The sequence below is a fragment of the Homo sapiens genome, chromosome 6 (assembly GCF_000001405.40).
Source record: "Homo sapiens chromosome 6, GRCh38.p14 Primary Assembly".
Lineage (NCBI taxonomy): Eukaryota > Metazoa > Chordata > Mammalia > Primates > Hominidae > Homo > Homo sapiens.
The window spans coordinates 88608700-88623217 of NC_000006.12; the positions used below are offsets into that span (position 1 = coordinate 88608700).

General features: G+C 36.3%; 1 protein-coding gene across 4 annotated transcripts in view; it reads right to left on the reverse strand.

Moving 5' to 3' along the window:
• Positions 1 to 1197: 1197 nt before the first annotated feature.
• The window catches only part of RNGTT (RNA guanylyltransferase and 5'-phosphatase), a 353722-nt gene continuing 340401 nt past the window's right edge, over positions 1198 to 14518 (reverse strand). For 3 of the 4 annotated variants that reach the window (NM_001286428.2, NM_001286426.2, NM_003800.5), the window contains 2 exons: positions 5573 to 5696; positions 1198 to 4183 (listed from right to left, as the gene is read on the reverse strand). In NM_001286428.2, coding sequence (NP_001273357.1) covers positions 4020 to 4183; positions 5573 to 5696 — 288 coding nt within the window. In that variant the 3' untranslated portion in view covers positions 1198 to 4019. Of the gene's footprint in view, positions 4184 to 5572; positions 5697 to 14518 lie in introns of those variants that run through there. The other variant, XM_047419443.1, reaches the window with a different exon arrangement.

The window sequence follows — 14518 nt, forward strand, 5'->3', positions numbered from 1 at the left end:
TGTGTTAAGAGTTCCTTAGTTTTACTAAATAATGGCAAGATAATTTGTTTTTTTAATGCCCTGACATGGCAAAATATTTGGCAACCCCGGATCCATGCCCTGGTTTTGGGAAATGTGAAATCTGGAGACCAGGTGGCCCCTGCTCAGAGTCTGCTCCACTACCACCTTCCTGATACTGCAGAGTGGTCACCTGACATCAGTCAGGTGAGGGAAGGGGCCCATCTGCATTAACCAAGGCTGACAATGACCTGCCAAAGCAGCAGAGTTGACAGCTAACTATGAGACAATCAGGAAAATGTTAGCCCAGTGTGTAATTTAATCACTTATTTCTTCCTAATTACCTCTTTAGAATTTAGCATCTTAATGAGAACATTAAACTTCCCCTTCATGGCTGCTTAGTCACTCACATTTAAGTATTGTTAAATAAATAGTTAAATAAGGCCCTAAAGTGTATTTACTTCTGTGCTCCCAACTTCACCTTCTTTATTAGAGAGAAGTGCTTAAAGCCTATTACCCTGTTAGCACCCAAAAAATGTCTTAGTTTGGGACCCCCTGGCATGAAATCAGTCTTCCACAAAGGGACTGTATGTAACTAAGCCTTTGGGAGAGGACTGTGCAAAAATGTAGGTGCTGGAGTAAAAAGACCTATGTCTGGATCTCAGCTCACAACTTAGTCTCAGGTTCCTCATCTAAAAGTGGGGTTGGTAACAGTACCTGCCTGCATAGAGTGGTTATGTTTAGGACAGTCTTGGTAGTTGGTGAATAATCAATAATGGTTATACTGCTATTATGGTGAATATGGGAGATTTTCAAAGTACTGTCTTTAACACAGGAATCATGGTTAGACCTGGAAAGGCTTTTAAATAATCTAGCCCAGTGTGACAGATGGGATTTGCCACTTTATAGATGGAACAAAATGGCAGGGGTGGATGGGGGTGTGTGTGTGGGAGGATCTAGACAGAACAGAGCCAACAGGAGGCAGAGCCTGGACTTGTGTGAGTCTAGTCCAGAGTTTTCTCCACCACATGTGTCCTCCCACTTGGGAGTATTTGCTTCTTGGCTTCCAAGGTTATTTTTTTGGCCAGGAAAAACTATATGCAGAGTTCAAAATGGTGGTATTATTTAAACATTTAAAGATGGCAAATTCCATACTATAAAAATGCAATGCAAAAAAAAATTTGGTAGTTCACGACTTCATCATTTCAGAATATTTATTGCTATTGCTGAGTATTCTAAAAAATTTAAATGCATTAAAAATAATGTAACAGAATATCTACTCATACAGTAGACTGCTAAGATTAGATGAAGAGAAATAATATAAACATCATATAAAGATGTGCTTTCTCCCATTCCTCTCCACTTCAAAAATAAAAGGTTCAAACTACACCCCCCTGTGTCAATCAAATTTCTCAGTTTCTCAGAAAGAAAAATAGAGGCTTTCCAAGTCTTTATGCTAATCTCTACAAAGCCAGATGGATTACACTGGGTGTGGCTGACAGCAGTAGGATGTGATGCCAGCAATAGAAGGGACACAAGAGTATCACCAGTAAAACAAAGTAGATACACTTATGCTAATTTAAATCAGTAGTTTTATTACAATACGCACTGACACACAATTGGAAAAGGAATGTCCTGACATTTTCTGAGCATTTCACGGAAAGCAAATGTAACCATCCACGCAGTAGAGTCATCCACACCTTTTCCTAACAAAAAGCAAAAGCTTTCACATGTGATAACTGAAGAAAGCAAAGTTTTCTTATTCTTGTCTAAAAAACTTCAGTCTCAGAAAATAGTTATTGAAGTGAGCTGAGAAGGAGCACATTTCCTTCACAATGTCCAAAATCCTGCCTCTAGATTATCCCCCTGACCTTCTAAATGACTTTTATAATACTGCAGATGGTATTATGTTCAGGGGCTAAATGGGATCTACTTATAAGGCCAACTACTCTATGTCACTATAATTGAAAGGAAAGAATAAATTAAGAAAATTAAGTCCTGCTAAAATGCACAAAGACTTGAAGAAAATATCTGGGTGTATTAAAAGTGAGATGCTCTTTTCACGTAACTCATTTGAAAGGTTACAATTACCATAAACATTTTAACTCCATTAAAGATCATTGGCAAAAGCTTGCTTTCGTATCTGCAAAAGGGCTCTGCCTTTCCACAGGCTCGGAGGGAAAGCAGCACACCGTGGAAGAGTCACTCGTCCTGGGGAAGCAGGCATCAGACTATTTGAAGTTGCATAGGCATTTTTTTTTTAATCCATTTTGTAAAAGATACTATGGAACCTTGAGAATTTTCCCTCCTTCAATAGTCATTGTGGCATCAGTTGTTTTAATCCCTTTAGCGCCCAAATGTGCAAAAACACTCTAGTAAAAAACGTTACAATGGCGTTTTGGATAAATTCACTATACATTACATGACTTGGGAACAACGAAGAAAAAAGCCCAAGCTTGACTCAACTATTTCATATAGAAAAGCACTGCAGGAGAAAACTTTGTTTAAAAACATTAAAACTCAGGTGAATATAAATACATTTTTGGTTCATCTGTGCTATGTCCATATAGAAATCCCGTCAGATATTCAGTCTACCGGGTAATTCAGTTGGATTTCGTGTCTGACTGAATCAGTAGAAGAATATACACTTGCATATACTTACACAGATATGCATTTACATATACAATTCAGACCATGAAAATTTGTTTTAAATACATTTACTTAAAACATGTACCTCTAAAAATAAATACACTAGCCTCCATTTAGCTAATTCTCAGAGTTCTTTCACAAACCAATTAGAACAGTTTATCAACAATGGCAGACAATCAATTAGCCGCCCTTTAAATCCATTATCTATCAGTAAACATTTTAAAATTCAGATGTATAACAGAAATAACATCCGCAGAATAGAATGTAGATAGAATTCTCGCTTTGAAAATAAATGTCTTGATTTCCTTGATATTTAGTTCCTACAGATGTCTACACTTTGCCTCTGCATTTATCTAGCAGTGGGAGAGCATTTTCTGGTGACAGCATTCTATTCCATGACATTACCTTCTAATCAAAGAAGTTAGCTGGCATTCCCTTTGCTGTTTTGTTCGAGAGAAGGAACACAACATCGTTTGTATTTGATATCACTCCCATAGATCACAGTGAGTTGTGTGTTTTAACGTAATTTACAATGTGCTGATACCACTGAGGTAAAGCAGAAGTAGCCCTGGCATTTAAAAAAAGAAGTCTCCCAGGAGAACAACACATAAAGGACCTGGTGGTGTATGTCCAAGTTCCATGAAGTAACTCAAAACCACTGCCAGAATGGACACACTGGATATCTGATATCATAGTCGAAACAATACAAACAGATGAAAATACTCAAAATACTTCCTTTAGAAACAATGCAATTCACAAAAATGGAGCTTTACTTTTTTCTTTTACATTTCCAAAAAACTTGTTAAAATGATATAAACCAGACCAAGTTGTTTAATATAGTACAACTTAACAACCCTGTCATTTGTTTTTGAATACAGGGATCTCAGAAATGTAGGAAATCCATGGTAAATGATAGCAAGAATGTTTAATGCCATTGCCTGGATTTTTTAAAAGGAAAATTTGCTACAGTTGTAACACAACTTCTAAAAAATACTGTTTTATGGGCTCACAGTTTCCAGATTGTTAACTTTATAAATTAAATGTGAAGCTACCCATATATAAACAAGGCCTCTTTTTCATTGATTTCCATCTTGTTTAAACCTTTGGATATTTCAATCTTCAGATTCCACAAGGTAAGGCTGAGTTTATCAGATAAATAAGATGTTTAAGTCCACGATGTATTGCAGCACTGAGGAAACGAATGCATCAAGTATTTACAGGCTGGCTACGATAACTTTCTTTTTTTAAAAAAAATTCAAATGTGTATCAACATCAAGCCACAGTCGTTTTTCAATTTCTCTGGCTACAAAAATGGGCAACAGCGTTTTTTCCTCATTCCTCTTTCTTCTTAACCCTCAAGTCACAGGCAGGTCTTAGGTTAAAGGGCGTGGTCTTTTGGGAGGTGGTGGTGGCATGAGCTCCGTGTCAGGGTCCAGATGATGTTTTCGCTTCTGTCCTTGAGAAGCTGCAGTACATCTGTCGATGAACTCAAACAGCATCTCCTTGGTGACAGGGTTTGAGATGCTGTTACACACAGCTGTGGACAAAGGGAGACAGGTCTCATGTGAGGGTTAATTAAGGCAGCTGACTCACCACAGGCTTATGAGAAAGGTTTTCATCCCAATATACTAAATACTTTCCATTTTACCCATTTGAGTGATGTGCTTCACATTGAACTATCTCCTCCCTACCCTACACCCAAAATATGTGCTTGTCTAATGGCTACTCTTTACTGCAGTATTAATTTTAAACCAAAACTTTAAATGTTTGGGCTATAAGCATGTCTTCCCCACGGTTTTCTATCCCTCCCAAACCAGTTTTTATGGGATTTTAATCTAACACAACACATTGCACCATAGTCTGTATTCAACTAAAACTTCTACAGAAAACGTGCACTATAGTCCTTCAATCTTTCTCTCAGAAAGAAGTCTACTCTACGAAACATAAAACATGGCACCAGCCACCATTCCTGTTGAATAGGTGGTTTCATTGTAGCTAGCAGACCATATTATCTTCTCTTATCAAAATTTAGTGCCAGTCCTTTTCATTTTATTTACCTATTTGGTCTTAGAAGAAAAGACATTGGCTTAATCATCCTGACTTTTGAAATTAACTCATCTTGTCTGAACATGGATGCTAGTTCCAATGAGAACTCCTAAATGTACAACAGTAACTTTTAAACTGCAAAGCTGAAATTGGCAATTTCAATATTTTCTCATTAGCTTATCATATCATCATCATCATCCTCCTCATCAACTGCACATTCTAAAAGTAAAGTTTGATTAACCTGTTATCTTGGTTTTTACCTTTTTTCAACTCCACTAAAAATGCAATCCAGAACAACAACTGCTACTGGTAGTGGTATACCTTATAAACTTCAATTAATTTGTGTTGTTCCCCATGAAAGAAACTTACTATTCTGAATTCCCAAAGCATTCATATTGTACCCAAAGAACACTCTGAAGAATAGCATAGCAGATTTTGTCTTTTTAAATGGTTTTCGTTTACTTTGTTCTCCATTGTTTATAAAGCTATTTTAAGAGCTGGAAATTACATTTTCCCCTGATAATTTTGTCTTTTACCATCTGGCAAACAATGGTTTTTATAGTTTTGAATAGATCTGAAATTATCATGGTTTCTGTTGTTGTTGTTGTTCAATAAATTCAACTTGTATACAGCCCAGTATCCTGCCCTTTAAACTTCTCTTTTGGGTGCATGGGCACAAGATCACCAGTTTAGAGAGTAGAACCTACAAGCCAACTGGAGCCAAACAGAATACAGACTTGACGTATCTTTCCCATCAAACAAGGATGAAGTCCAAATGACTATGCCCCATTAAGCAAAACAACAAAGGCAGCACACTTTGGGTCTAACACCTTAATTTTTGTTTTAAATATAATAAGCACTGGTAAGTTGTCATACTCACCCATGGCAGTGTTGTAGGCATTAGGAAAACTTTTGTCTGTTCTCTGTCTCATGAAGACCCAGCTGTTGTTCTCAAATTTGCATTCTATAATTTTGTTGTCATACTGTTTCAGCTCTTTTGTCACCTGTTTTGAAAGAGAATTGAGGAAAATATTTAAATAACTTGAAAGGCTTTTTGCTTCTACTATGTGACAGGCACATTAGGAAATGATAAAAATACCTCAGTAACTCTTCATGCAGAGAGCTCTTTGTCATCTGAAGTATCTAATCAAGCTTAAGGTATGGTGTGCACTCCCTTGTACACATGCTCACTTATCCGACATTTTATAAATAATTGTGAAAATGGCTGTCAATATATAGCAATTAAAAGAAGCTAGGCAGAAACCAGCCATGCTGGGCCAAATGCAAATATGTTACCATGGGGACCAATACCTTCAATATTGTCTGTGTCTCTACGGCTTTCAGAAATTGAGTATACTGCCTAGGTTTCATCAACTTTCAGAAAGGTCTAACCATCTAAATTCCTATGTTAAAATCTAAGAAATGCCGTGTACTAGTTAAATGAAAAAGTTACATATCAATAGTGAATACTAGGATCAAATTCAGGCAATGTACATCCTAAATATTTTGCTTTCCAAGCAGTGACAATTAACCAACAATCTAATCTTCAGGAAACTTAGCCTTTCCATCCCCAAACTAGTACAAATTTACAGATGAAGCTATTTGTGACATTAGTTGATGGGTTTTTTGGCTTCTTCACCTCAGATGACTGAATATGGATACTCTATCAAAGCTAACAAGTATCCATGGTAACTACGAACCTTTTAAAAGATATTTCACTGGGCTGTGAGAATGGTTTTCATAAATAGGAACCTAAGCTTATCTTTGTAGTTTTCAAATCAAATGCCAGTCATGGTAATATTTTAATTCTGTCCTCATCTTTCATGGCTAACAACTTTTCCTCACAATATGGTAGACTGCAATCATTTAACTTCATTAGCATTATCTGAAACATTCTCATTTTTCTACCCACATATTCACTACCACCTAGGAATATGACGAGAAGTAAGTTTTTAAAAGATGCTTTCAATTCGCAGATTAGGCAGCACATGTCTTCATAAAAACTTTCAAACTATATTCCTTTCCCTTTACATTTGATTGTACCATCTGCATTTTCAACAAATCCAACAGGTGCAATACACTCAGTGGTTTTGGAACTAGACATGCCCAAAAAAGTGATATTCCAAGTAGCAAACTTGCCAAATTTATCCTCAAATATTCATTATTTTAGTCTCAATTCTCTTGCCTTGCTTTCTAGGGACCCATTCTTTTATTTTGGAAACACTGTGTATATGCAAGTATTGGACAACTCATTCAGTTAGGTAAACACAGTTTTGCTATACCACATGTAAGGTCTAACAGAAATAAGTTTCTAAACCTTTCAGTGTCTATTTCCTAATTTCTAAAATGGGGAACAAGTTCCTAATTTACTGGGTCACTGAAAGAATAATAATTGAAAGTGCCTGGGACATAGAACAATCAGTAAAATTGTTAACCAAATATAAAATTAGGCAATGAAACATTGCTTTTTAAAATCTGTGGTAAAAAAACATTGAATTTTCCATCTTAACCATTTTTAAGTGTACAGTTCAGCAATGCTAAGTGTATGTCTAGAACTTTTCCATCTTGCAACACTGAAATGCTATACTCCCTAAACACTAATTGCCCCCCTTCCCCTCTACCCAGACCTTGATAACTGCCTTTCTACTTTCTGTTTCTATGATTTTGACTACTTTAGATACTTCATACGAGTATTAACAGAATCACACACTATTTGTCCTTTTGTGATTGGCTTGTTTCACTTAGCATAATGTCCTTGAGGTTTATTCATGTTGTAGCATGTGACAGAAATTCTTTCTTTTTAAAGGTAGAATAATATTCCACTGTATGTATACACCACATTTTCTTTAGCCATTCATCTGTCAATGGACACGTGGGCTGCTTCTACCTCTTGGCTATTTTGGATAATGTTGCAAAGAACGTGGGTGTGAAAATATCTCTTTGAGATCCGGTTTTAAATTATTTTGGCTATACACCCAGAGGCAGTATCACTGGATCATAATTTTATTTTTAATCTTTTGAGGACCCCTTTGTTTTCCATAATGGCTGCATCAATTTACATTCTCACTAACAGTATGCAAGGGTTCCAATGTCACATCCTTAACACCTGTTAGTTTTTGTTCCTTTTTTTTTTAAAAAAAATTGACGCCCATTGTTTACTGTGCTCTAATTTAAACTTTTTGTTCTTTCATAGTGGCCATCCTGATGGTGTCAGGTGCTATCTCATTGTGGTCTTGATTTGCATTTCACTAATGACTGAGAATCTTTCCATGTGCTTATTGGCTGTATACTTTCTTCAGTATACTTTCTTCAGTATACAAGAAACTTTGTCAATTTTTTTAATTGGGTTGTTTATTGTTGTTGAGATGTAGGAGTTCCTTATATATTCTGGACATTAACTTCTTATCAGATGTACAATTTGCAATTATTTTCTCCCATTCTGTAGGCTGCCTTTTCACACTGCTGATTGATTCCTTTGATGTACATAAGTTTTTAACTTTGATGTAGTCCTCTTTGTCTATTTTTTATTTTGTTGCCTATGATTTTGGTGTTGCACACAAGAAATCATTGCCTAATCCAATGTCCTAAAGATTTGTCCTGGCCGGGCACAGTGGCTCACGCCTGTAATCCCAGCACTTTGGGAGGCCGAGGTGGGCAGATCATGAGGTCAGATCGAGACCATCCTGGCTAACACAGTGAAACCCTGTCTCTACTAAAAATACAAAAAGATTAGCCGGGCGTGGTGGCAGGTGCCTGCAGTCCCAGCTACTCGGGAGGCTGAGGCAGGATAATGGCATGAACCTGGGAGGCGGAGCTTGCAGTGAGCTGAGATCGTGCCACTGCACTCCAGCCTGGGCAAGAGAGGGAGACTCCATCTCCAAAAAAAAGATTTCTCCTATGTTATCTTTTACAAGTTTAATAGTTTAAGGTCTTATGTTTTGGTCTTTATTTTTGTGTTAATTTTTGTATATGGTGTAAGGTAGGGGTTCAACTTCATTCTTTTGCATGTGGATATTGCTTTCCCAACACTGTTAGTTGAAGATATTGATTGTCCCTTCCCATTGTGTAGTATTGGCGCCCTTGTGGCAAATCATTTGGCCATATATGCAATGATTTATTTCTGGGCTCTCTATTCTGCTCCATTGATTTGTATCTCTATCTTTATGCCAGTAATTAAGTATGCCATCTAAATTAGATGCTTTGAAGTATGTTTTGAAATCAGGAAGTGTGAGGCCTCCAACTTTGTTCTTTCTCAAGATTGTTTTGGCCTTTTGGGGTCTATTGAGATTCTGTATGAATTTTAAGATAGTTTTTTAATTTCTGCAAAAAATACTATTGGGATTTTGATAGGGGTGGAATGCATTTTAGTAGTATAGATGTTTTAACAATATTAAGTCTTCCAATCCACAAGCACCAATGTCTTTCTATTTATTTGTATCTTCTTTGATTTCTTTCAGCAAGAAACACTGCTTAATTAAAAAAAAAAAACCTTAGAAGTAAATTTACTAAAGGAACCATGATGACATAGGAAGGCTGACTTTGAAAACAGCTGTCAAGAAAATTTTATCATATGTACTTTACAAGAATGGCTTGCTAGTCAACAATGTGTAGTCTGCACTTTTGCTGACTAGCAACTGTGGTCTTTATCATATAGCTTATCATTCTTGTGTTCTCAGTTTCAGAATTGCTATAAATTATGTTACTCAATCTGACTGTAACAATTAAGCAGTACTATTAACTATCTGTGTATCTCCTTGGCCACTAAAAATCTGGTAAACAGAGCTTTCCAGAAAATGCACGTACCTGCCACTACTAACCTAAACGTATTTCCGTATTTAAGAACAATACATCATTCTTCATTGATCACACCAGTTATAGTCCCAAGATAGATGCACTACAAGTTACTCATTTGGTTAGGTGGTAAAATATATTTAACTAATAAAAATAATATCTCCCACATGTATACAAACTAAAAACAGTTTCCAATAATGGTCGGATCAAAAGAATGACCGGTATAAGGGAGAGGAGTTTAATTTTAGATCTAATTTGTTACTATGACAATAATCATCCTCAGCCAATTACATATTATTATTTACTAAAACAGGACCCCATCAGGTCTTCTAATCAACTGTTATCCTAGTTTGAGTTAATGAGACCTTGAAAGTAAAAAGAATAAAATATTTATAAAACAAGATTTCACATCTGTACCCCAAATTACATTGAACTGATGAGGTTTTACTGTTTCTGAAAAAAACAGAGCAACACACCATATATTTTATGTTGAAAAAAATTTGTTGCCTGTATCCATCTGATTGCATACCACACTTTTATACTATTTGAATCTATAAATAATCTGGGGTTAAGAAACTATCAGATGAAAACGGATCTAGTACTTCTCAAGATTTTAAATTAGCAGCTCAAAGAAAAGTTTCACTTATTAATTTTGGCATTCATCTGTAACTCTTGCCTGAGCAATTATTCCTGCGGTGTTCTAATGGGATTTTTCTGTATCCTCCATTCCTTCTACATCTATTATCTAGAGTTCTTCCATAAGAAAGATTTGTCCCTTCTCCCCTATTTATTCATTTAATTGCTTATCTGTATTGGTATGGACTCATGGATATTTATTTTATTATTTGGTTTATAATAAAATACTCGTCACTTATTTCATTGCTCAAATTGTTCTAGTTTTGGCCACTGAAAACTCTCAGGTTGGCTTCCATGTCTTTTTATCTTGCTTCCACCTTTTCTCCATGGGGCTCCCTACCACAGATTTTTCTTTTTTTTTTTCTGAGACAAAGTCTCAGTCTGTCACCCAGGTTGGAGTGCAGTGGTGCGGTCACAGCTCACTGCAGCCTCAACTTCCTTGGCTCAAGTCATCCTCCCGCCTCAGCCTCCCAAGCAGTTGAGACCACAGTTGTGCACTACCACACCTGGCTAATATTGCAATTTTTTTTGTAGAGATGGGGTATCCCCATGTTGTTCAGGATGGTCTCAAACTCCTGGGCTTAAGCAATCCTCTGGCCTTGGCCTCCCAAAGTGCTGGGATTACATGGGTGAGCCACTGCACCCAGCCCATTGGGGATTTTTTTAAAGAACAGAATTACTCTTCAACAGTCCAGGTTATGCTAAGAAAGTACTGCCACAACTTATTTTGGTCAGAATTAAAAATTATTATTAAGAAGAAGGACAGAGGGAGAAAGAAGGAAAGAAGAACGGGGGTGTGGAATGAATATATGAGACTATAAATAAATTTTTGTACATAGAGTTAAACTAAATTGACCATTTTTTTCTTTTCTGAAGTTATAATTCTACCTTTTGATAATTCAAAATCTACTTCTATAGTGTGACAGAAGGTGGATTTTTTAAACATATCTCAAGTAAATGAACTCAAACAAAAATCTTGTTTTCACGTAAATAACTTTGGTTTTTAGTTCTTATGAAGGCAGAGAAAATAAAACATATACATCAGAAATAAGATGGAATTATAAAAGTTTTCCACGTGGTGTCACAGCAATATAAATAGCTTTAGTCTGAATTATTAGATAAACAGTCTTCTAGAACTACTACCTTATAGCAGGGCCATGACGTATTATTACTTTAAGAAAGTGTGTCCGCCTACTAAAAGAAGTAAAATACGTGTCACGTTACCTTTTTAAAACACGTTAGACTAGTACTTCAAAAAACGTTCCTCTGCTGAAATCTATTGGTGTTTGTGCCTCTATAATGAGGAACCACTGTGTAAATGGCACATCTTGCATTTGCTAGGTTAGAAACCCAGCAACAGGAAGTTTCTCCTTCATGAATGGTGGTGTCTTCATGCCCTTCAGTCAGATACGCAACTAATGAAAGCAGTTACTTAGGAAAGAAGCAGCTATAACTCTACCTTATTTACTTATCCCAAGTTATTATAGACAAGTCACAACTAAAGGGTATGAAATTCACACTAAACTACATATTTCTACCATCCAATAAAATCAGAGTTAGTCATAGCTATTATTTCATAGAAAATAACTGGACAGATATAAACAAAAACATGTTAGTAGTGGTTATTGGTGGATGGTGGAATTAGAAGTGACTTTTATTTTCTTCTCCATGTTTTGCTGTATTTTCCAAACTTTCAACATATGCATGTTTAACTATCATACTTTTTTTGAAACAAAAAATCCTAAAATAAACTACGTTTCACCAATGATGATAAACATCAGGTTGGTTTTTAATGTAGAGGTACAAAACGTAAGAAATAAATATTTAAATGGAAAACAAAAAGTCTTGGAATAATGCTCTGAGTCCACAGCTTGCAAACTGCAATGAGGCACCCCAGAGAGCTACAGCAAATTCACAAGAGCATTGTGGAATATTTTACATTTTTAGGGAAAGACAGTGACAGGAGTTGGACACCATAAAAATTACTAGTTGAAGCGAGTTCACAGTTTTAATACAGAATTCCTTTAGACGACATTATGTCTTTGTAAAGCTGGGTCTGGGGCAGTTATTTTGATTAAAACCACATATTGTGCAAAAAAATCAAGGTGTAACAGGACATGTAGTTGTGGTGTCCAATCTGATTCCAAGGTTTGAGAAGTTGTATGCTCTTTAACACATGCTAAGTTGTTTGGACATAAACACTTAGTTATTTGGATCTATCTGCTTAATAAATGGAATTGTTAGGTATTTCTTTTGGCTTGGAGGTGCTGTGTATGAGGCAACATGAACCAAGCACATTTGCTAGCCTCTGGCCTAAGTCCTTTTCATTCATCCTTTCTGATCCTATCTCTAAAACCTACACACAGATTTATGTCTAGCACTTAGTGGAAATCAACCAGAGTATGAAGAACTTTGCTGGAGATGCAGAAACCAGATCATGGTACAAAACAGAATTTCTATGAAGTTAATTTCATTAACTCTGATCTAGATCAATAAAATATGTGCTCTTCATTGGTTGTACCAGTTTAGAGTAGAGGAGATCCTCAGGAAAGACATTTCCTTAAATTCCAGAATCATGTGCCTCAGCTTATCAACCAGCTTGTACTGTTGATAGCTGGTTAAGTAAAGGAGGCTAGTATTATCTCTAAGCTTTTCTCTGCCTCCCTTTCTCCTTCTTACTCCTTCCCCACCTCCCCAAAAACAAAATAAAAGGTTTTAAGACTTAAATATCCTCCCTTTGACACAAGAATGAATATCATGCATTTGTACTCTATTTCTGAGTGACTAAGATGGCATCTATTCTTGTTTCTCGGTGTCTAAGGTGGCATCTATTCCAGCACCACAATCTGTTAAATAAAAAGTATGCGAGGCCATTAGTTTGGACTAAGCTCCTACACTAAGCCCCAACAGACCAGATTAAAAACCAAAATGGAGTCACTTATACTGAAGCCCCACAGCACCAAACTGAAACTTAGTTGTTACCTGACCTGAGAAATCAGAGGGAGATAATAGCCAAAATTCTGAAACAGGCCAGTTTCAGTTGGCATGATAATAAAGTTCCCTCTGCTTTAATCCTTATCCCAGAAAAAGTAACCTGAAATAACCTGATGTTAACCAGTTATTTTTCTGTTGTTGTGTTTCCCTGTTCCCATCTCACAAGGACAGTAACTTTAAATGACCAATCTACTTTTTGTCATTTGTTTCTGCTTTCTTCAGCCTTTTTCTGTATATAAAACTAACCTCCCTTGCTCAGCTCCTCAGAACACTTATTCTATTTTATGGAATACAGTGTTGCCCGATTCTAGAATTGCAAATTAAAGACAATTAAGATCTTTAAATTTGTTGTAATTTTGTCTTTTGACAAATCAAAATGAAAGCAAATGTTTCAGTTAAACACCAAGTTTATAAAATATACTCAAGTATTAAACACCTATATAGGCAAATGAGTGTTAGCTGATATACAGAGCTAACCCAAAAGATAGTTTTGATGGATGGCAAATATTTTGTGGATACTCATACACAAAATTTACAGTCAAATATCCATCTAGTTTGTATTTACTATGATGACTATCATTCTTTCATCTACTCTCATGTGGCTTCTACTTTTTCCACTCTAGCAAAACTCTGGCTGGGTTTGTCAATGACCTCTGTTGCTAAATCAAATGGACTCATCTTATTTGACCCCTTAGCATTGTCTTACACATTTAAATTCTGCCTCTTTAAAAACATTTCTCTTTTCTAGGCTTCCAGGAAACAAAATCTGGTTTTCCTCCTCTATCCTTTGCTACTCCTTCTCAGGCTTCTTTGCTAACTACTTCTCTTTTAAAGTTGACAAGTCCCTAGGGGCTGGTACTGGATTCTTTTCTTTCTCTAGCAATCTTATTTACCTCCATAGTTTTAAATACCATCTACATGTGAATAACTCCCAAATGTTCTTTCTTGCCACAGTTCCTGAGCTCTAGAACCATCATTCCTCCCACCTGACAAATACTGATCAACCATGTGCCCGGTAAGGTGTTGTGGACTGGTGACATAATGGTAAACAAGGTAGACACAGTCTCTGATCTTTGGAATGTAGTCTAGTGTGAAAGGCAGACAACAAACAAGAAAACAACTACAAAATGTTTACAAAATGATAATGCCTATGGAGAAAATATTGTGTAACAGAGACTAATGCAGAGAGAAAAATATCTGGCTTTAGGTGGGTTCTAAGGAGATGATATTTAAGCTAAGACCCATAGGATGATAAGACCCCAGCCTAAAGAAGGAAAGAAAGGAGGGAGGGAAGGCAGTAGAAAGGAAGCAAAAGCAAGTGGGAGTGCCAAGGGGAGGGGAGACACACACACTTAAGACAGTGATTAACAACGTGTCCAAAGGCCTGAGGTAAAAAAGATCTTAT